Here is a 17,170-nt window from a genome sequence, read left to right on the forward strand (position 1 = left end):
TTTTTTTTTTTTTTTTTTGTGCGTGTGTATGTGAGACAGGGAGGGTCTGGCTCTGTTGCCCAGGCTGGAGTGCAGTGGCATGGAGTTTACTGCAACCTCTGCCTCCTGGGCTCAAGCAGTCCTCCCACCTCAGCCTCCCAAGTAGCTGGGACTACAGGCACATGCCACCAAGCCCTGCTAATTTTTGCATTTTTGTAGAGATGGGGTTTCGCCATGTTGTCCAGGCTGGTCTTGAACTCCTGGGCTTAAGACATCCTCCTGCCTCAGCCTCCCACAATGCTGGGATTACAGGCGTGAGCCACCATGCCCAGCCTCCAAGTCCCCTTTATGTCAAGGCTGTGTTCTCTGAGTCCCATCCACTCAGCCAATTAGACAGGAAAGGAGACAAAGTGTGGAAAGGGCACATTCCCTCTTAACTACCTCTGCTCAGAGGCAGCACCAATCTCTTCTCCTTACATTCCATCAGCAAGAACTAGTCAGACAGAAGGGGCACTTGAAACAAAGCTAGACAACATTCCCAGAGGCCCCTGAATCTGAGTAGGTCCATATGACTAGTTTTTGCTAGTGGAATATAAGCAGAAGAGATGGTCACTGGTGAGCCTCAGACATCTCTGCTCTGAAGCCCACCATAATAACCAGGTCTTACCAGTTCCTTCCCCCAAGACTGCAGCCTGCTTCCCTTCCCTTCAGTTCCCGGCTGGATTCCTGGCCCAGAGCCAAAGATAACTCATCCCTGTGACGGCATGTCATCTCTGTCTGTGACAAGACCTCATTCACCCTTGGACAAAGATGGCTTCTGGCTTGGCCCAGACCAGGCCTGCCACCAACCACCCTTGGGCATTTGGTGGGGCCAGGTTCCTGGTCCTCACCCACTACCTCTCCACTCCTCTGCCCTGCTTCCATCCCACCACTGAGTTCTGTATCTCTTTACTAGGGCTACTGTAAAAAAGTACCACCAATTGAGTGGCTAAGAAACAGAAACTTACTGTCTCACAGTTCTGGAGGCTAGAAGTTTGTGAACCAGGTGCTGGCAGGGTTGACACCTGGAGTGCAGTGAGGGGGAATCTATTCTGTGCCTCTCCCCTGGCTTCTGGTGGTTTGCTGGCAATTTTTGGCATTCCTTGGCTTGTAGATGCATCACTCTGATCTCTGACTTCAACGTCACATGGTGTTCTCCCTGTGTCTTTGTCTCTGTGTCCAAATTTTCCCTTTTATAAAGACACCAGCCATACTGGACTAGGCCACCCTAATGACTAATGATAATAATTTTAACTTGATTATCTGCAAAATCTTTATTTCCAAATAAGGTCACATTCACAGGTACTCTGGGGCAGGACTTCAATATCTTTCAAGGGGTATAATTCAACCCATAACAAGACCCCGGAACATAGTAGGGTCTTGTCTGAAGATGCCTTGACAGTCCTGGGCAACCTTACCTACCTAATAACCAGACAGGAGGAAAAAGTGTTCCTCGGACAGAAACACTCCCAATCTCCTATCCCCAGGCTTGGAATGTGAGTGGTATGGACAGCAGGCACATGAGAAAAGGAATGCAATAGCCCCTCAGAGCCCTGCAACATCATTAGCCTCATGATGATTAATAAGTATTAATAAGTTATTAATAAAGATTAATCAGGACCTTTCCCAAGAGCTACAGAGGAGGCTGGCTAATAGCACAAAACAAATAAATGAAAACAACTAGGAGAAAACCTGAGTTTTCACCAGCCTGAGAACCAAGTGGCTACTTCTCACCTCCTGGAGCATGTGAGCCCCAAAGCAGACTGAGATATAAATCCTGCTTTGCCACTTTTTGGCTGAAACATTTTGGGCAGGCTCATCTCCTCCCCCAGGGTTGGGTGAACATCATATAAGAGGTGTTGCACCACATGAGTGCTCTGTAAGCATTGGTCAAGTCTTGGAGGCAAGGCCTGAAGCTGGAGCCTTGCTTGCTACAGCCGATCCCTGAGCCACGGCCACCCCAGGCCCAGCTCAGCCTGAACAGCTAAGCAGAGGAAGCAAGCCCCAGATGGGGAGGGCAGCCTCAGAGGTCTCCATCCCTTAGAGAATCTGATGGTGGTGACAGACCCAAATGGTCAGCAACAGCAGTGACAATGATGGCTCAACCCACTCTCCAAGAGATCCCTATGTGCCAGGCACCACAGGAGGCAACTGCTGTTATCACCCTCACTTTACAGAGGAGGAAATTGAGGCTCAGAGAGGTTACAAGGCTTCTCTTAGATCACACAGATGGGGAATGATAGAGTCTTAGGATATGACTTGACACAGAGGCTGGACAAGACTTCTTTCTGCTCACCCATGCCTGCCAAGGCCTGAGCCAGTAACACCTATAATGGACACAACATGGCGATGGAGTTGATAACACACACACATGCACACCTGGATTTCAGAACATCTTTAGGGACTAGGACCACATCCCTGCTGTATCCTGTTTCACTTTTCTCCTGATGCTCCTAGAACCTCCCCTTTTGAGGTTCTCAGCAAGTTTATATTTGGGAATAATTGTAACATAATTTGATAGATAATTAGAGCAGAATTAAGTTAAAAAATGAGTGTTTTTAACTACTCATACATCCCCATGTCATTTAAATAATTCCTAATATATCCAAGCCACTTGCTTCGTGCAGCACTGATGTGTATTGAACTGAGGATAATGAAATACGGGATGGAAGAGGGAAAATGCTATTTCAGAGTCTGAAGATCACCAATTAATGACATGAAAAACCAAGAGGGACTCTGTTCACTTAATGTCCCCTGTGTAGGACACAAATGCAGGACCCCCTAGCAGGCTCCCTGTTCAGTGCCTCCAAGGCAATCATGACAGGCCAGAGGGACCAGGTGGAAGGGAAACGGCAGGGGCAGCTCCGAGAGACCGAGCTGCCTCTGTGCTCCCCCGACCCCCCAGCAGGACCAGCCATTCTTGACATCCCATCCCTCTGCAGTTCTGACACAGCTCTTCCCATAATGCCTCTACTCATTATCCAACACACCTACTGTTTTATGCTAACACTGAGATCTTGTAACAAACTCAGAAGCCTTGTCCTACTAAAATAATGCATCCACTCAACCCCTCTATTCATCACGGTGCTGGAGCCCTGAAGGATCTGGTCTCCATCTGCACTTCCATCTAAGGCCATTTGCCACTCACTCACTCTCACCTCACAAGCTGTCTTTTAGTTCTTCAAAGACTGGAAGCTCTAGGGCCTTTGCATGTGCTGTCACCTTCCAACCCCCTCCCCTATATAGACACACACACACATACACACAACATCCTCCTCTTGTTTTCCCACTTTGGCACCACAGCCCAAGTGCTGGGTATGAACTTGGTATCCAGAAAATTCTTTGCCCTGAAGTTCTCCAACAGCACAGTCCCCAAGAAAGACAGTTCAAGTTTGGATTTTCTCCCAAATGACCTCTGAAGAGGGGATTTAACTCATAGGATCTGAATTGGCTTCCTCTCCCTGGAGAGAGCCTGGCTCAGGGACAACTGGAGCACACCACAGCCCAGGATGGTAAACCAGGCAAGTGGTTCCTGCCCAGGAACACTACTGTAAGCCCTGTGCTGCCTCATCTGCCATCGTCCAGGTGCCTGCCCATGGCTAGGGTGTAGCACCTTCTTGCAAAGCATCCCACACTGCTCCCCCTCCTCCCCAGCTCTCTGAACCCTGCTGAGGTTTGGAGTCCCAACACGATTGTCCTCACTGACCTTCCCCTCTGGTCCTTATTGGCCTAGGAGTTCTGGCAAGGACCTCGGGGTTCAGTAACCACATTCCTGTACAAGCATCAGAGCCCGGCTCACACTCAAAACACTGCACACCTTGAGGACAGGCTGGCTCCTCCATTGCTGGCCCCTCTGTGCACCAGAGAGACCAAGGACTTGGAGACAGGCCCTGTCTCAAATGTTGGGTCCTAAAGACCAATGAGCACATCAGACCTCATTGTCCTGATTCTTGGTTCAGAAAATCTCACCACACTGGTGTTCTCTCCAGGTTTCCAGGCAGCAAAGTGGAGAGGCTGGGAGCTCAGACTTCCAAACCAGACTTCAGATCCAGGCTCTCCCACTTACTAACTTTGTGTCCTCCGGTACATAACTTTACTCTTTGTGCCTGTTTCCTCACTGGTAAGTGGAGGTACATGGTAGTGCCTGTGTCCAAGAGTTATTGTGAGATTAAATGAATTCACATTAGGGTCATCAACTGTTCTGTTTTGCCCGGCACTGTCCCAGATTTAGCACAAAAAGTCCTGAATCCCAGGAAACTCCTCAGTTCCCAGGATAGCCACCTGAGATAGAGAGAGAGAGTAAGAGAGAGAGAGAGAGAGAGAAGATACAGTGCCCGACACATGGTAAATACTAAATAATTTTCTTTTTAGTTTGAGCTAAATGTCAATATACCACTTAACAAAATGTGCCCCTCCCTTGCCCCACATCCCAGCAGCCTCACAAGATTGATTTGGGGACTAACCCAGTGCCTGAAGCTGGCTTTTCCAGGTCCCTGTGTGAGGCAGACCCCTTCCCACTGGCCCAGGATGCCTGGAGGGGTCCCCATGCCCAGGAACATCCTGGCCCATGGCTCCCCTCCCCTGGTACCAGAGTCTTTCTGCTCCAAACAGATGGGCCCCTGCGGGGACGCCTCCGCACCCTCGGAAGGGCCGCTGTTTGGCCAGGCCCCAGCCCCTTTCACACTCAGGTAAAACTTTAACCACAGGCCTTTGGCGGCATTGCCGGGCCCTGCGCTCCCATTCAGGGCATGATAAATGACTGCTGTCACCGTGACATGAATGCTCATATTGAAAAGCCCTGCTTTCTGTCTTCCTCCCTTTCAGGCCGCCAACTTCTCCTCTCTTAAGTCGCCGGGCGTCACTCACATGTCACCCTGTCCTGAATGCCTCCCAATCTGGCACCCCTGCTCCCTCTGCCCCTCGATTCCCACCTGCCCCACCCCTGCCCCTTCCTCTCTGGTCTCCTGCCCCCCCCCCGCCTCCATTCTCTCATTGCTCCTCCCCATCCTGCAGAGCCCCCACCCCACCATTTCCTCCTCCTTCAGTCCTGATTTGCCCATCCCCATCTCCGGACAGGGGAAGCTCACACTCTTTTCCCCATCACTGTCCCCACAGCCGATAACCACACACAAGCCCTCCACCACCGTGTCTCACCATCACTCTCCATGCTAGAGTTGCCTTGGCACTGGCACCGCTGATGCCAACCTACAGGGAAGGAAAGTGACACCCAAGGGGACCCCTAAAAGTAAGTAAGAGAGCAGATTCACAGTGCCCTAATACAGTGTCAAGACAGTGTGCTATTGTGTCTGTGTGAATCCGTGTTGTATTTCTCTGGGAATAGGAAACAAAGATTCCATCAGATCCCCCAAAATGGACCAAGAATCACTTCTCAGAGGCTCTGCTCATCCCATAAAGGCTTGATGAACACCTATTGGCACTGGAAACACCAAATTAACTCCACATCGTGGGGATCAAAGCCATGCTGTTGGGACAGGGGACACCACAACTCTGATGCCTCAGCCCAAGGGGTTTCTTTTCTTCACCAATGAGTTCAGCTGCCGTAAGAAGATCCACACCAGTACAGCCCAAGACAGCTGGGGACAAAACCCACTACAGAAGGAAACATTGTGTGGCATTGTTGAAGCCAGGAAAAACTGCTGGGTTTTTTGTGGGGGGGGGGTGTGGGCGGGGTGGAAAACTGAAATTTGGGGGTGGGAAATGGCTGAGTGTAGTCTTGTCTGAGCCAGTGTCCTGAAAAGCTCCAGCATCCATCAGTCTGGCAGCCAAGGAAGCTAAAGATGGTTCTGCCTGGCAGAGTCTGCCCAGTAAGCTACCTCATTTGGCATGTTAAATATAAAGGTGTATTTTGGCCAGGCATGGTAGCTATCACCTGTACTCCCAGCACTTTGGGAGGCTGAGGCAGGCGGATCACTTGAGGTCAGGAGTTGGAAACCAGCCTGGGCAACATGGTGAAACGCTGTCTCTACTAAAACAAAACAAAACAAAAATTAGCTGGGTATGGTGACACATGCCTGTAATACGAGCTACTCAGGAGGCTGAGGCACGAGAATCGCTTGAACCTTGGAGGTGGAGGTTGCAGGGAGCTGAAATCGTGCCACTGCACTCCAGCCTGGGTGACAGAGTGAGACTGTGTCTCAAAAAATAAAAAAATAATAATAATAAATAAAGGTTTATTTCATTCCGTAAATTGCTGATCATTTCATCATGGAGATGACTTTCAAGTGGCTTTCACTGTGGTAACAAATGGAACAGCAAGGCACTGGGTATCAGAAGAGCATGGTAGCCTCCTGTATGCCAGGGTCCCTCAGGACCACCTTCCAAGTGCATTTCCAATTCCACACCTACCCTGGGGGCCCAATGCCCAGGGCTGTCTTGAGACATTTTCATGTTAGGAACCCCTGTGCATTGTGAGAAATGCGTGCGAGCATACAGAAGGCCATTGCTAAGTCTTCTGTTTCCCAGAATTCACTGAGTGTGGGAGGAAAGGCAGAGCTCCACTCATTCTGCATAGGATATCCCCTCTACCTCAAAGAGAAGAGCCACCCTAAGGTTAAGGAAGTACCAGACATGGGCCTACACAGGACATGGGTAGCCACACCTGGCTTGCCAAATGCAGAGCTGAGGCAATGGATTTAGTTCCATGAGAGGCTGTATTAGTCTGTTCTCAAGCTGCTAATAAAGACATACCTGAGACTGGGTAATGTATAAAGGAAAGAGGTTTAGTTGACTCACAGTTCCACATGGCTGGGGAGGCCTCACAATCATGTCAGAAGGCAAAGGAGGAGCAAAGTCACGCCTTGCATAGCGGCAGGCAAGAGACAGAGCATGTGCAGGGGAGCTCCCCTTTATAAAACCCTCAGATCTTGTGAGACTTATTCACTGTCACAAGAACAGCACAGGAAAGACTTGCCCTCATGATTCAACTACCTCCCACTGGGTCCCTCCCGTGACATGCAGAAGCTACAATTCAAGATTTGGGTGGAGACACAGCCAAATCATATCAGATGCCCTCCAAATAAGACTCTAAGGTCAAATATACTAAGGAAGCACCACTTGCTAATATACCTTTCTTAGAGGGTCACAATGAACATTATTGTTCAGAACTTATTCAGAGTTCTGAGGGATCCTGCAGTAAATAAACCTGGATGACCCAGGGTTTCCCTGATTTACTTGACTCTCTTTGTGCAGAATATCCATCGATATTCCTAGAAATATTGTCTTCTCCAAGGCGCATTACCTACATGACCTCACTCTATACTGATAATACCTCTAGGAGGTGGATATAATTATTAACCCATGAGACAGATGAAGGTAGTGAAACTCTGGAAGATTAAGTAAATTACATAAGGTTCCACAGCCACTAACTAGCAGAGCTGGGATTTTTCTGATTGCTAAGCCGATTACCTGACCATTTGATTCTTGAGGCATGTGAGGATGAACTTACAAAAAGTAGACACCATCCTAAATTAGAAGCAATGAAAGGAAGTAGCATTTTCTCAATTTGGTGGCCTCTGTGGTGTAAGACAAACATAGGATGTGCTCAGTGTCAGAAAGGGAGAGAAGGTGGGAGAGGAGGAAAACTCCACTGCTGGGTCCTGAATACTATCATAATCTCCCCCAAGGATTTCTGAATGCAGTTGTCCCTACCAACAGTTTCCTCTACTGAGCATATTCCCAGGTTGCTGCAGCCTAGGGATTTGCCTAGCTTGTGATATATTTCATGCACTGGTTTATTCAACTTCCTGATGAAATCTGAGGACCTCCAAACATAGACCAGCTTCCCTCACCCAGCAGCAGAGGAGACAGGAGGAAGTCAGAATCAGAAGGAGCTAGAGTCAGCCATCAGGGGACAGGAGGGTTGGGTTGGGCCCAATCTCAGAGACACTACAAGAATCATCTCTCAAGGTTTCCACCTAACGCACCTCCAGAAAGAGATACCAAGTAGCCTGCGCCAATCAATACGTGGCAATCTATCCTTACTTTAAAGCCACCACCTCCTCTCTCCCTTTTGATGATACCACTCAATCTCAGAGACAGAGTCTAGCTGCTTTAGGCTCTTTGGTCCTTGACATCATTAATTTCCCCACTGAATAGGCCACTTTGAATTTGATCATTTATTACTTGCAGCCAAAGGCTTTCTGACAGACACAGATTTTTAAACAGATTGTTATGACACAATGTGGCAAGTGCCATAATCAAAGTATTCACACAGTTTTCTGCTGAGACAGCAGAAAAAGAGAAATTTGGCTTACTTGGTTTGGGGAGGATCAAGAGAGGTGATCCCTGAACAGAATCCCCAAAGAAGGTTTGTTCACAGGCAACAAGGCAAAGAGGCAGGAACTAAGAAGGGGATGTTATTGAGCACCTACTACATAAGACCTTCAGGTACATTCTGCCACTGAGAAAACAGAGAGTATGTACCCTCCCAAGGGGTCATCACTATTAATTGGCTGAGCCAGAATTTGAGTCTGCTTGATTTTGAAGTCCCTATTCCTACATGCTGTCTCAATACTGCCGACCAACAACAAAATGGACATTCACTACTACTGTGAATGGGTCTTTAGTAAAGAGACTCTCACTCTGATAGCATCAGGAACTGCGACTGAAAGAGGAAAGGTCCTTAGAACCTTCTGGAAGTTCTGCAATTGAGCCTAGAAGGTGTTTTCTACAAGCACAAATTCCTTGGGCTTCTAGGGACTTTGAGATCCTCAATTCCAAGTATTACCTTAAAAACTTCTGTGATTTTTTACTTCATTCTCAATGCCCAGTCTCCTGTAGAATTTTACTGTGGAATTTCAGTGTTTTCCTTTAACTCTTTGTGCTAGAATAAACAGGAGCTTTGGGGAAAACAGATCTATTTTGAAGTTCTGCTGTACCACTTGATAGCCTGGGTAACCTCTTGACATTGGGTAACCTCCTGACATTGGGTAACCTCCCTCAGGCCCAGTGAGTTGGTCACTTGATGCTGCACAAATTATTTTACCAGCTTTTTATTTCCTCAGCTGGGAAATGGGGATAATACTCCCAATCATGTAGGACTTGGAGAATTAAATGAGATAATGACTGGCCCATAGAAGTTTCTAGATACATATTAGCTTCCATCTTCAGTCTACAGTCTTTTCTGCTTACCTTCTTGAAGAATATGTCAAATCAAAGCAAACAATCTGCCCAGTTTGGCTCATCAGGATATCCCCAGGCAAGGGCAATGTTAAAAACATTTAACAACCAACACCCCCGAGGCATCAATCAATCGTACTGTACGCCATTGGTACAAGGCTACAATAAACACTGCTTAAATATTTCCCCTTTTCCTAAATAAAAAGGGAATTAATTCTCTCTCCTAACTACACATTCTCTGCCTAGAAATGAAAACTGGCCACCCCAGGGCTGCTGACCAGGCTAGTGTCATGATTATAAATCTGGGATGGAGCTCAAGCCAAAAAATATTAATACCTTGAGCCAAATAATAGTAATAGCTAGCATGCACTGTGCTCATGCACTTTACATGCATGAGAATGTAAATGTATGTATACATTACATACATTCCTTCTTCATCCCCATAACCATCTCATGGAGTAGCTATTACCATTATCACTATTTTGCAGAGGTAAAAATTCAGGCCCAGAGATGTAAAGCAAACTGCTCACAGCCACAGAAAGCATGTCAGTGACAGGTCTGTCTGGCACTAAAGTCCATACTCGTAAAGGTGGGGCACTATTGTCTAAATTTCTCCATAATTGAAAGTCCAGCCCTTCAATGCCCCCCATTCTTTACCCCATAGCTGTGTACCTGGTTCTCAAGTCACACAAACTCTTCAGAGGCAGCACCCATTTCTGTAGATGTTCATGTCTTAGGTCACATTCTGCACAAGCAGACTCTGAGATCTGAAACAAACACTTGGGTGCAAGTGATGTATTAGAGAAGTGCTCCCCAGACATACTGGTAAGGGATTGACAGAAAAACATGATAGGAAAGAGGAAGAAGCCAAGCAAGGTGTAGTCCCAGACAAAAATCCCACTGAGGGTAGCTTCAGCCTATTCACAGGGGAGCTCTACAGAGTAGGTTACACAGCAGGGTGGCCCTGATCCAAGGCAAGAGAGCTCCAACAAGAGAATAGGTGGAGATGAGGGTGAGGACGGAAACTGTAAACTCCCGGGAACATTCTGGCTCTCTGTTTATGTGAACAAAGTGACTCTAATAGCCCAAGCCAATTTTCCAAAGAAAAGAGAAGACACAAAGGCTAGCCATTGAGAACATACCCAAGTCAGGACAGCAGGTGGGGATGTGCACTGAAACTGATGACCTGTACAGAGCATCAGCATTGCTACAGTCAAACAGCCTGAGGATGCACACTGCTGTGTTGAAGTCCTTCTGCTTTCATGACTGCAATCCTTGAGCTGAGTTGACAGCATAAATTGGAACATGGGCTCAGCTCTCAAACACCAGAAAGAGTGGGTACTTTCTCGGACAGGCTAGAACTTTTCCTCCTTCTGGATCATGACAGCAAATGGGTCTCCTCAGAGAGTGACCTGGTGCTAAAGGGTGACCCAACGCCTAGACTGATCATTGTGGGTAATTTTATAGACTTTGCAAGACCCCCTGCAACTGAAGTCATGATTGCAGTGCTGTTATTGCTGATTTTTATATTATTTTATTTAACAAATTAACTTCTATTTCCAGAGTACAACCTCAAAAATGAAACCTTCAGCCTTCTCTCTTGCCAAGTAGATCTAGATTTCTATTACAAAAACATATCTTGCATCACTGGGGAAAAAAAAGCCTTGACAATTCTGCTGTGTGTTTTCAATGCCATGTTTTTGTACATTCAGGTATCAGCTTTTAGGAAAATCAATGCAAAAAGGGGGAAGACTTAGCAAACTTGAACCTAAAATGAAAATTTCTTCTTTATTATTAGTGAGTAATCACTCTCACATTAGTGAATTAACTTTAAACTATCAGGCTTAAGTACTGACTAACCCTCAATTGATACTTTAAGTTGTATTATAGTTACTTTCAAAAGTAAAAATATAAGTAATAACATATATATTCAATATTATATATCTTGCATATACCATGATTAATAGTATTTTTTAATTTTTCAAGCTTGCTGTTTTTAAATGCTAGTCAGGGACAAGGTCAGGGGTGGGGTAGGGTGAGCAGGCATCAGATTGCAAAGGTCCAGCCAGGTCACTTAGATCCTGGGCAATATCCCAAGGGTTGAGTCTGGTAAACACACAGCATCTATCCTGTTCAATAGAAAAAAAAATCATTTTGGGATGTGTTAGGTTTAGGGCTCAAATAAGCATTCCTGAGTTCTTCCTGTTCCCTGACCCAGCTGCCACAGAGAGATAGCCAGAGCCCCAAATCCAGATGGAATGGAACCAGGCACTCAGTTCATGTCCTGGTTACCAAGAATCTTGACCAATCCAGCTCCCTGTCTTCTCCAGGGCCTTCTTCCAAGAGTGGAGAGGGGTCCTCCCACACAATCGCAAATCCCAGCCACTCAGCATATCCCTGAGGCTTGGAGAACCATGGGTTTCATTATGAAAGAGTTACTATGTACCAGATCCTCTAAAAAACAGCTTCCAGACATTATTTTATTATAATTGCATAGTGACCCTGAGAGGCAGGTATGGCAGGGACTGTAGTGCAAAATTCATGTGCTCCTCTACATTTCCCACCCTCTCTTGCAACTAGTGTGGGATCATTAGACTGAGTTGCAGCCTGTGAACTGCAATGGAATTGATGTCCACTTCCCTGACCACTCTCAGGCCTAACCACAGACTTAGAGGTCAGGAAACATTTTCTGTAAAGGACTAGTTGGGCAATATTTCAGTCTTTGCAGTCCGTATGACCTCTGTCACAACTAGTCAACTCTACCACTGTCATATGAAAGCAGCCATAGATAATATGTAAACAGGTGGGTGTGACTGTGTACCAATAAACCTTTATTTATAAAAATAAACTGGAGATTCAATTTGGCTCATGAGTGTAGTTTGCTGATCCCTGCCTTAAAACCTGGCTGGCTTATTTCACAGGATACAGTGGGGAAACCTGAGGGGGCCCTATGGAAAGACAGAGCCACAGAATTAAAGGGCCTGGTTCCCTGAGTCACTGCTATAAAGTTGCCTAACCCGTATTATACTGCCACAGAAGCAAGAAATAACATATTGTGTTAAACCACAGGGATTTGGGGACTGTTTGTCACAGCAGCTGCACTGATTAACCCGACTAACAAAATAGGTTAACTGTTCCTTTTTGACAGCTGTGGGAAATGAGGTTCAGAGGGGGAAAGGATCCATCCAAGTTTACAAAGCAAAGAAAGAGTAGAGCCAGGGCTTAGGACGATCAACTCATCCTGGCATGCCAGCATTTGCCTGGTTTTAGCACTGAAAGCCCACATCCTGGGCAAACAAGGTCACCTAGCTAGTCACCCAGCCAGGACTCAAACACAGGCCTGTCTGGCTCCAAAGCTCGTACTCACAGACCATGAGGAGGGCTGCTTTCTGAAAGGAGGTGGAGTGAGGCTCAGCTTGGCTCAGCATGATTCCTGCTGGGAGGCCCCCCACCCTGGTGTCCGCTCCAGGTGTGCTAGAGCTTGCAGGTGAGCATGGAGCCTGTCATCTTCTCCCTGCAGGCCTCAGGCTTTTTCCCCAAAGGCAGTAAGTCAGGCATGAATTTTAAATATATACCAGCTTGAGTATAGACGTCAGGCCTGACATCTATAAAATGGCACTAAATCCTGCTTTTATGAGCTCTTGCTGCATTCTGCTGAGTGTTTTATCACACTCACTGGAAGTCTACTGAGGGGAGTTAATAACCCAAAAACTCTGGGGCCTGCCTGTCTCTGGATTCAGAAGTGGAACCCCCAGCTGTGGATTTTCGAGATGTTAGCACTTGCACTAAAGATGCCAGCACCTCCAGATACCTGTGCTCTGCCCTGCCTAGGTCCTTCCTGCTGCTCAATTTTAGCCCCAGGCTGGTGACTTAGGTGGTTGGGGAAGGACTCTCTGAGAGGGCAACCTTTGGGCTGAAACCTGAAGGTTGAAAAGAAGATGGTCATGCTAGAAATGAAGCGGGAAAGGCCAGGCACAGTGGCTCATGCCTGTAATCCCAGCACTTTGGGAGGCCACAGCAGAAGGATTACTTGATGCCAGGAGTTTGAGACTAGCCTGGGCAACAAAGTGGGACCCCCATCTCTACAAAAAATCTTTCAAATTAGCTGGGCATGGTGGTGTGTACCTGTAGTCCCAGCTACTCGGGACGCTGAGGTGGGAGGATCACTTGAGTCCAGGAAGTCAAGGCTGCAGTAAGCCTGCGCTCCAGACTGGGCAACAGAGAAGACCCTGTCTCAAAAAGAAAAAGAAATGAAAAGTGTCCCAGAGACAGAACAGCAAAGGCTAAGGTCCTGAGTCCCGTGACACCTAATCCAGACAGAGAAGGCTTTCCAGTAGAGGACTGCAGAGAACCAGGACACATCCCTGAAGAACCACAGCCTATAACAGATGTCCAAAAGGGAGACCTCAGCAGAACAGTCAGAGAAGTGGGAGGGAAGCCCAGAAAGCCAGGAATCATAGGTGCTAAGAGAGGGGAGCATTTCAAGGAGAGAGAGTTTGGTGGCATCAGATGCTATGAAAAACCTAATTTAAAAAGCACAGAAAGAGGTCCCTTGGCTTTGGCAATGCCAATGTCACAAATATTTAAGTGCTTACTGTGTGCTCCAGGGTCCAAGCTCCAGGGAAGCGACGGTCAAATAAAGCAGTAGTTTGGGGGCAGGGAGGGTAGGACAGAAAATCTACAAGTAATTCCAATGACACATGTTCTGTTCTGTAGGATCCCAGAAGTGGGGCAAAGTAACTCTACCAAGGAGTTGAGAAGATTTCTGAAAAGTCAGACATCTGAGTTGGGCTGTGAAGGTTGAATAGTTTACTACTAAGGTGATGAGATAGAGGAAATATCATGGGCAAAAATATCAGAAAGATATGTTTAGGAAACCAAGGAAGTCCCTTAGCCTAGGGGAGATGAGGCTGAGATAATTGGGAGGAGATAAAGGACCTCCAGCCCTGCCAAGAAGTTCGGGTTTATTCTCCAGGCAACAGGGTGGCATGGAGGGAGACGTCAGATTTACACTTTAGAAAATAATTTCTAAAACCCTGCACACTATGGTGTGTGCCTGTAATCCCAACTACTTGGGATGCTAAGGTGGCGGGATCACTTGAGCCCAGGTGTTCAAGTCCAGCCTAGGAGAGCTAGTGAGGCCCTGTCTGTGACAGAGAGAAAAATAAAAGAAAAAAAATAGTTTCTGGCTTTGAGTCCCATCCCCAGCTCTAACACTAAGCGGCAGAGTGACGCTAGACGCATCCCTTCCATCTTCTGGGCCTCAGTTTTACCCACTTTGAAGTGAGAAGATAAGACTATCCGTTCCAGTTCTTATGATCTGAGGGTTCTGTGGTCCTTCCCCAACCACCTGGGCACCCATGTAAGAGTCAGCTGTTCTGAAAGAGCCTTTTGTTTGTCTGCATCTGATACAAATAAATTCATCGCTTAGGTTCCAATTTCAGAGTCATAATTTGCCCAGCACTTTTCAGAAGAGCAAAATGACTCTCAGGGTCAACCATGCCACCAGCGTGTCTAAGAGGCTTTTTCCCAATTCCCTGGTGAGGATGAGAAACAAGGACTCCATCGTGACCCAGGGGAAAGGCTGACATTTGGTGAGATGTCTGTATTTAACTCCCACTGCTTGACATCTGCTTTCAATTAATCTGCCTGTGTTAAGAGAGATGCTGCCCAGAGCATGCGATTCAACCTCAGTTCTGGAGGGGCAGAGAGAAGCAGTCACAGAGAGTGAATGCAGATCCTAGCCACCCACTGCCCCCAACCCACACCCTCAGGGGCTCCCTGAACCCCCAGGACCACCTGGCCTGCAGGCACCTGAGGGCCTACTTCACTCCCACTTCACAATTGACACTTCAGCAATACCAACCGGGACACATTTGAAGGACTAAAAGAAAGTCAAACTGAGGTCACTGGAGACACTGACAAGAGAGGACAGTGGCTTAGTGAGGGAGGCAGGGGCCAGGTCACACAAAGCCTTATAGAGCATGTGAAGGAGTTTCTGTTTTTATCCTGGGTCTGATTAGAAGTGACATTGTTAATTTGCATATTTGAAATATGTCTCCAGGTGCTTCATGGAGAATCGGTTGGACAGAGGAAAGATTGGGAGAGGAGATGGCTTCAAACTGCACTGTCCAACTCAGCAGGCACCAGCCACAGTGAGCACTTGAAAGGTGGCCAGTGCAATTGAGGAAATGAAATTTTTTGCTACAGGCTTCATTTTTTATTTATATTATTTTTGCATGTATGTAAAGAGGCACAAGTGTAATTTTGTTACATACATACATTGCATCATGGTGAAGTCAAGGCTTTTATGGTGTCTGTCACCTGAATAATGTATATTATACCCATTAAGTAATTTCTCATCATCCACCCCCTCCCACCTCCCAACTCCTTTGAATCACCATTGTCTATCATTCCACTCTCTACATCCACGTGTACACATTTAGCTCCCACTTATAAGTGAAAACATGAGGTATTTGACTTTCTGTGTCTGAGTTGTTTCACTTAAGGTAATGACCTCCAGTTCCATCCATGTTGCTGCAAAAGACATTTATTCTTTTGAATGACTGAATGGTGGAACTGAATATTATATTTTATTTAAATTAATTAAAGTTAAAGTAAAATACTTAATTCAGCTATTTTAAAACTTTGAAGTATGTTTGGAACAACCTAGGTACATAATTCTACTTTCTCCAACAGTAAATGTTATGAAATCTAAATACGAATAAAGTATTTTCAATGGAAATTTATCATCCAAATTGAAATATGCTGTAAGTGTAAAATGCACAATGGATTTCGAAGACTTAGGACACAAAAAGCAAAAGAACAAGTATTTCAATCATAGTGTATATTGGCCATGTTAAGATGGTAATAGTTTGAATATATCATGTTAAATAAAATAGATTATTAAAACTAAATTAACTTGTTTATTTTTACTTCTTTAAAATTTTGTCACAAGAAATGTAAGCTTTTATGTGTGGCTCTCGTTGTGTTTCTATAGGACAGCACTGAGTTAGGAGGAAAGATGGTGATTTAGACTACAGTAATGATAGATCCGAGATATGTTTTGTAGGTCACATTGGCAGATCTTGCTGATAAATTGGATATTGGGAACGAGTGAAGGAAGAGGAAGTACCAGAGATGATGGCTAAGTTTCTGGCTCCAGCACTTAATTGGAAGATGGTGTCATTTTCTTGAATGAGGAAGACTTGGGGAGGAAAAGCTGGGGTAGGGGTGGGGACTAAGGGTTCCTATGGGACATAGTGAGTTTCAGATGCCTGTAAGATGCCAAGCGGAGAGCCGGGCATGGTGGCTCATGCCTGTAATCCCAGCACTTTGGGAGGCTGAGGTGGGTGGATCACCTGAGGTCAGGAGTTCAAAACCAGCCTGGCCAACATGGTGAAACCTCGTCTGTACTAAAAATACAAAAATTAGCTGGGCATGGTGGCATGCACCTGTAGTCCCAGGTACTTGGGAAGCTGAGACAGGAGAATCACTTGAATCCTGGAGGTGGAAGTTACAGTGAGCCGAGATCTTGCCACTACACTTCAGCCTGGGCAACAGAGAGAGACTCCATCTCAAAAAAAAGATGCCAAGTAGAGATATAAAACAGACAGTTGGATGCAGGGGCCTAGTATTCAAAAGCAAAGTCTGGGGAGAAGATCTAAATTTGGAAGCAACCACTTGGAAAAACTAGGTTTCTCCTCTGTTTATGCATTTCACAACAGACAGACAGACAGACAGATGGACAACAATGTTAATGCACTCCCCTGCTCTCCAGTTACAGTAAAATCCTTCTGAATATTCAAATGTTCCCTGGAGCTTTGAGTCTTCTCTGTATTTCACGAGCCACCAGCTCTCTCTTCTTCACTCCTCCCTCCCACCCCCCTGACTCAGATAATCCCTTCCTTGGCTCGCCCACCCCCAAAACTTGCTGGGCAAAACACTGTGGCAAAGACACCCATTGCAGACAGTCAGTAGCAGCAAGCTATGGGTCAGGATGTTTGCACAAATG

The 17,170-nt window shown here is 46.3% G+C and overlaps 2 annotated features.

Annotated features, from left to right (window-relative positions):
* Nucleotides 10,322-10,381: a silencer, noted in NCBI's record as "silent region_12911". NCBI's record gives its function as "represses an Ori minimal core promoter by ATAC-STARR-seq in GM12878 lymphoblastoid cells {active_cell/tissue: GM12878}" and the evidence as "EXISTENCE:reporter gene assay evidence [ECO:0000049][PMID:35858748]".
* Nucleotides 14,838-15,011: a silencer, noted in NCBI's record as "fragment chr20:39526059-39526232 (GRCh37/hg19 assembly coordinates)". NCBI's record gives its function as "represses an EF-1alpha promoter that drives an FKBP-Casp9 reporter gene in an ReSE screen in K562 erythroleukemia cells {active_cell/tissue: K562}" and the evidence as "EXISTENCE:reporter gene assay evidence [ECO:0000049][PMID:32094911]".

Source organism: Homo sapiens, chromosome 20, assembly GCF_000001405.40.
Source record: "Homo sapiens chromosome 20, GRCh38.p14 Primary Assembly".
Taxonomy (NCBI): domain Eukaryota; kingdom Metazoa; phylum Chordata; class Mammalia; order Primates; family Hominidae; genus Homo; species Homo sapiens.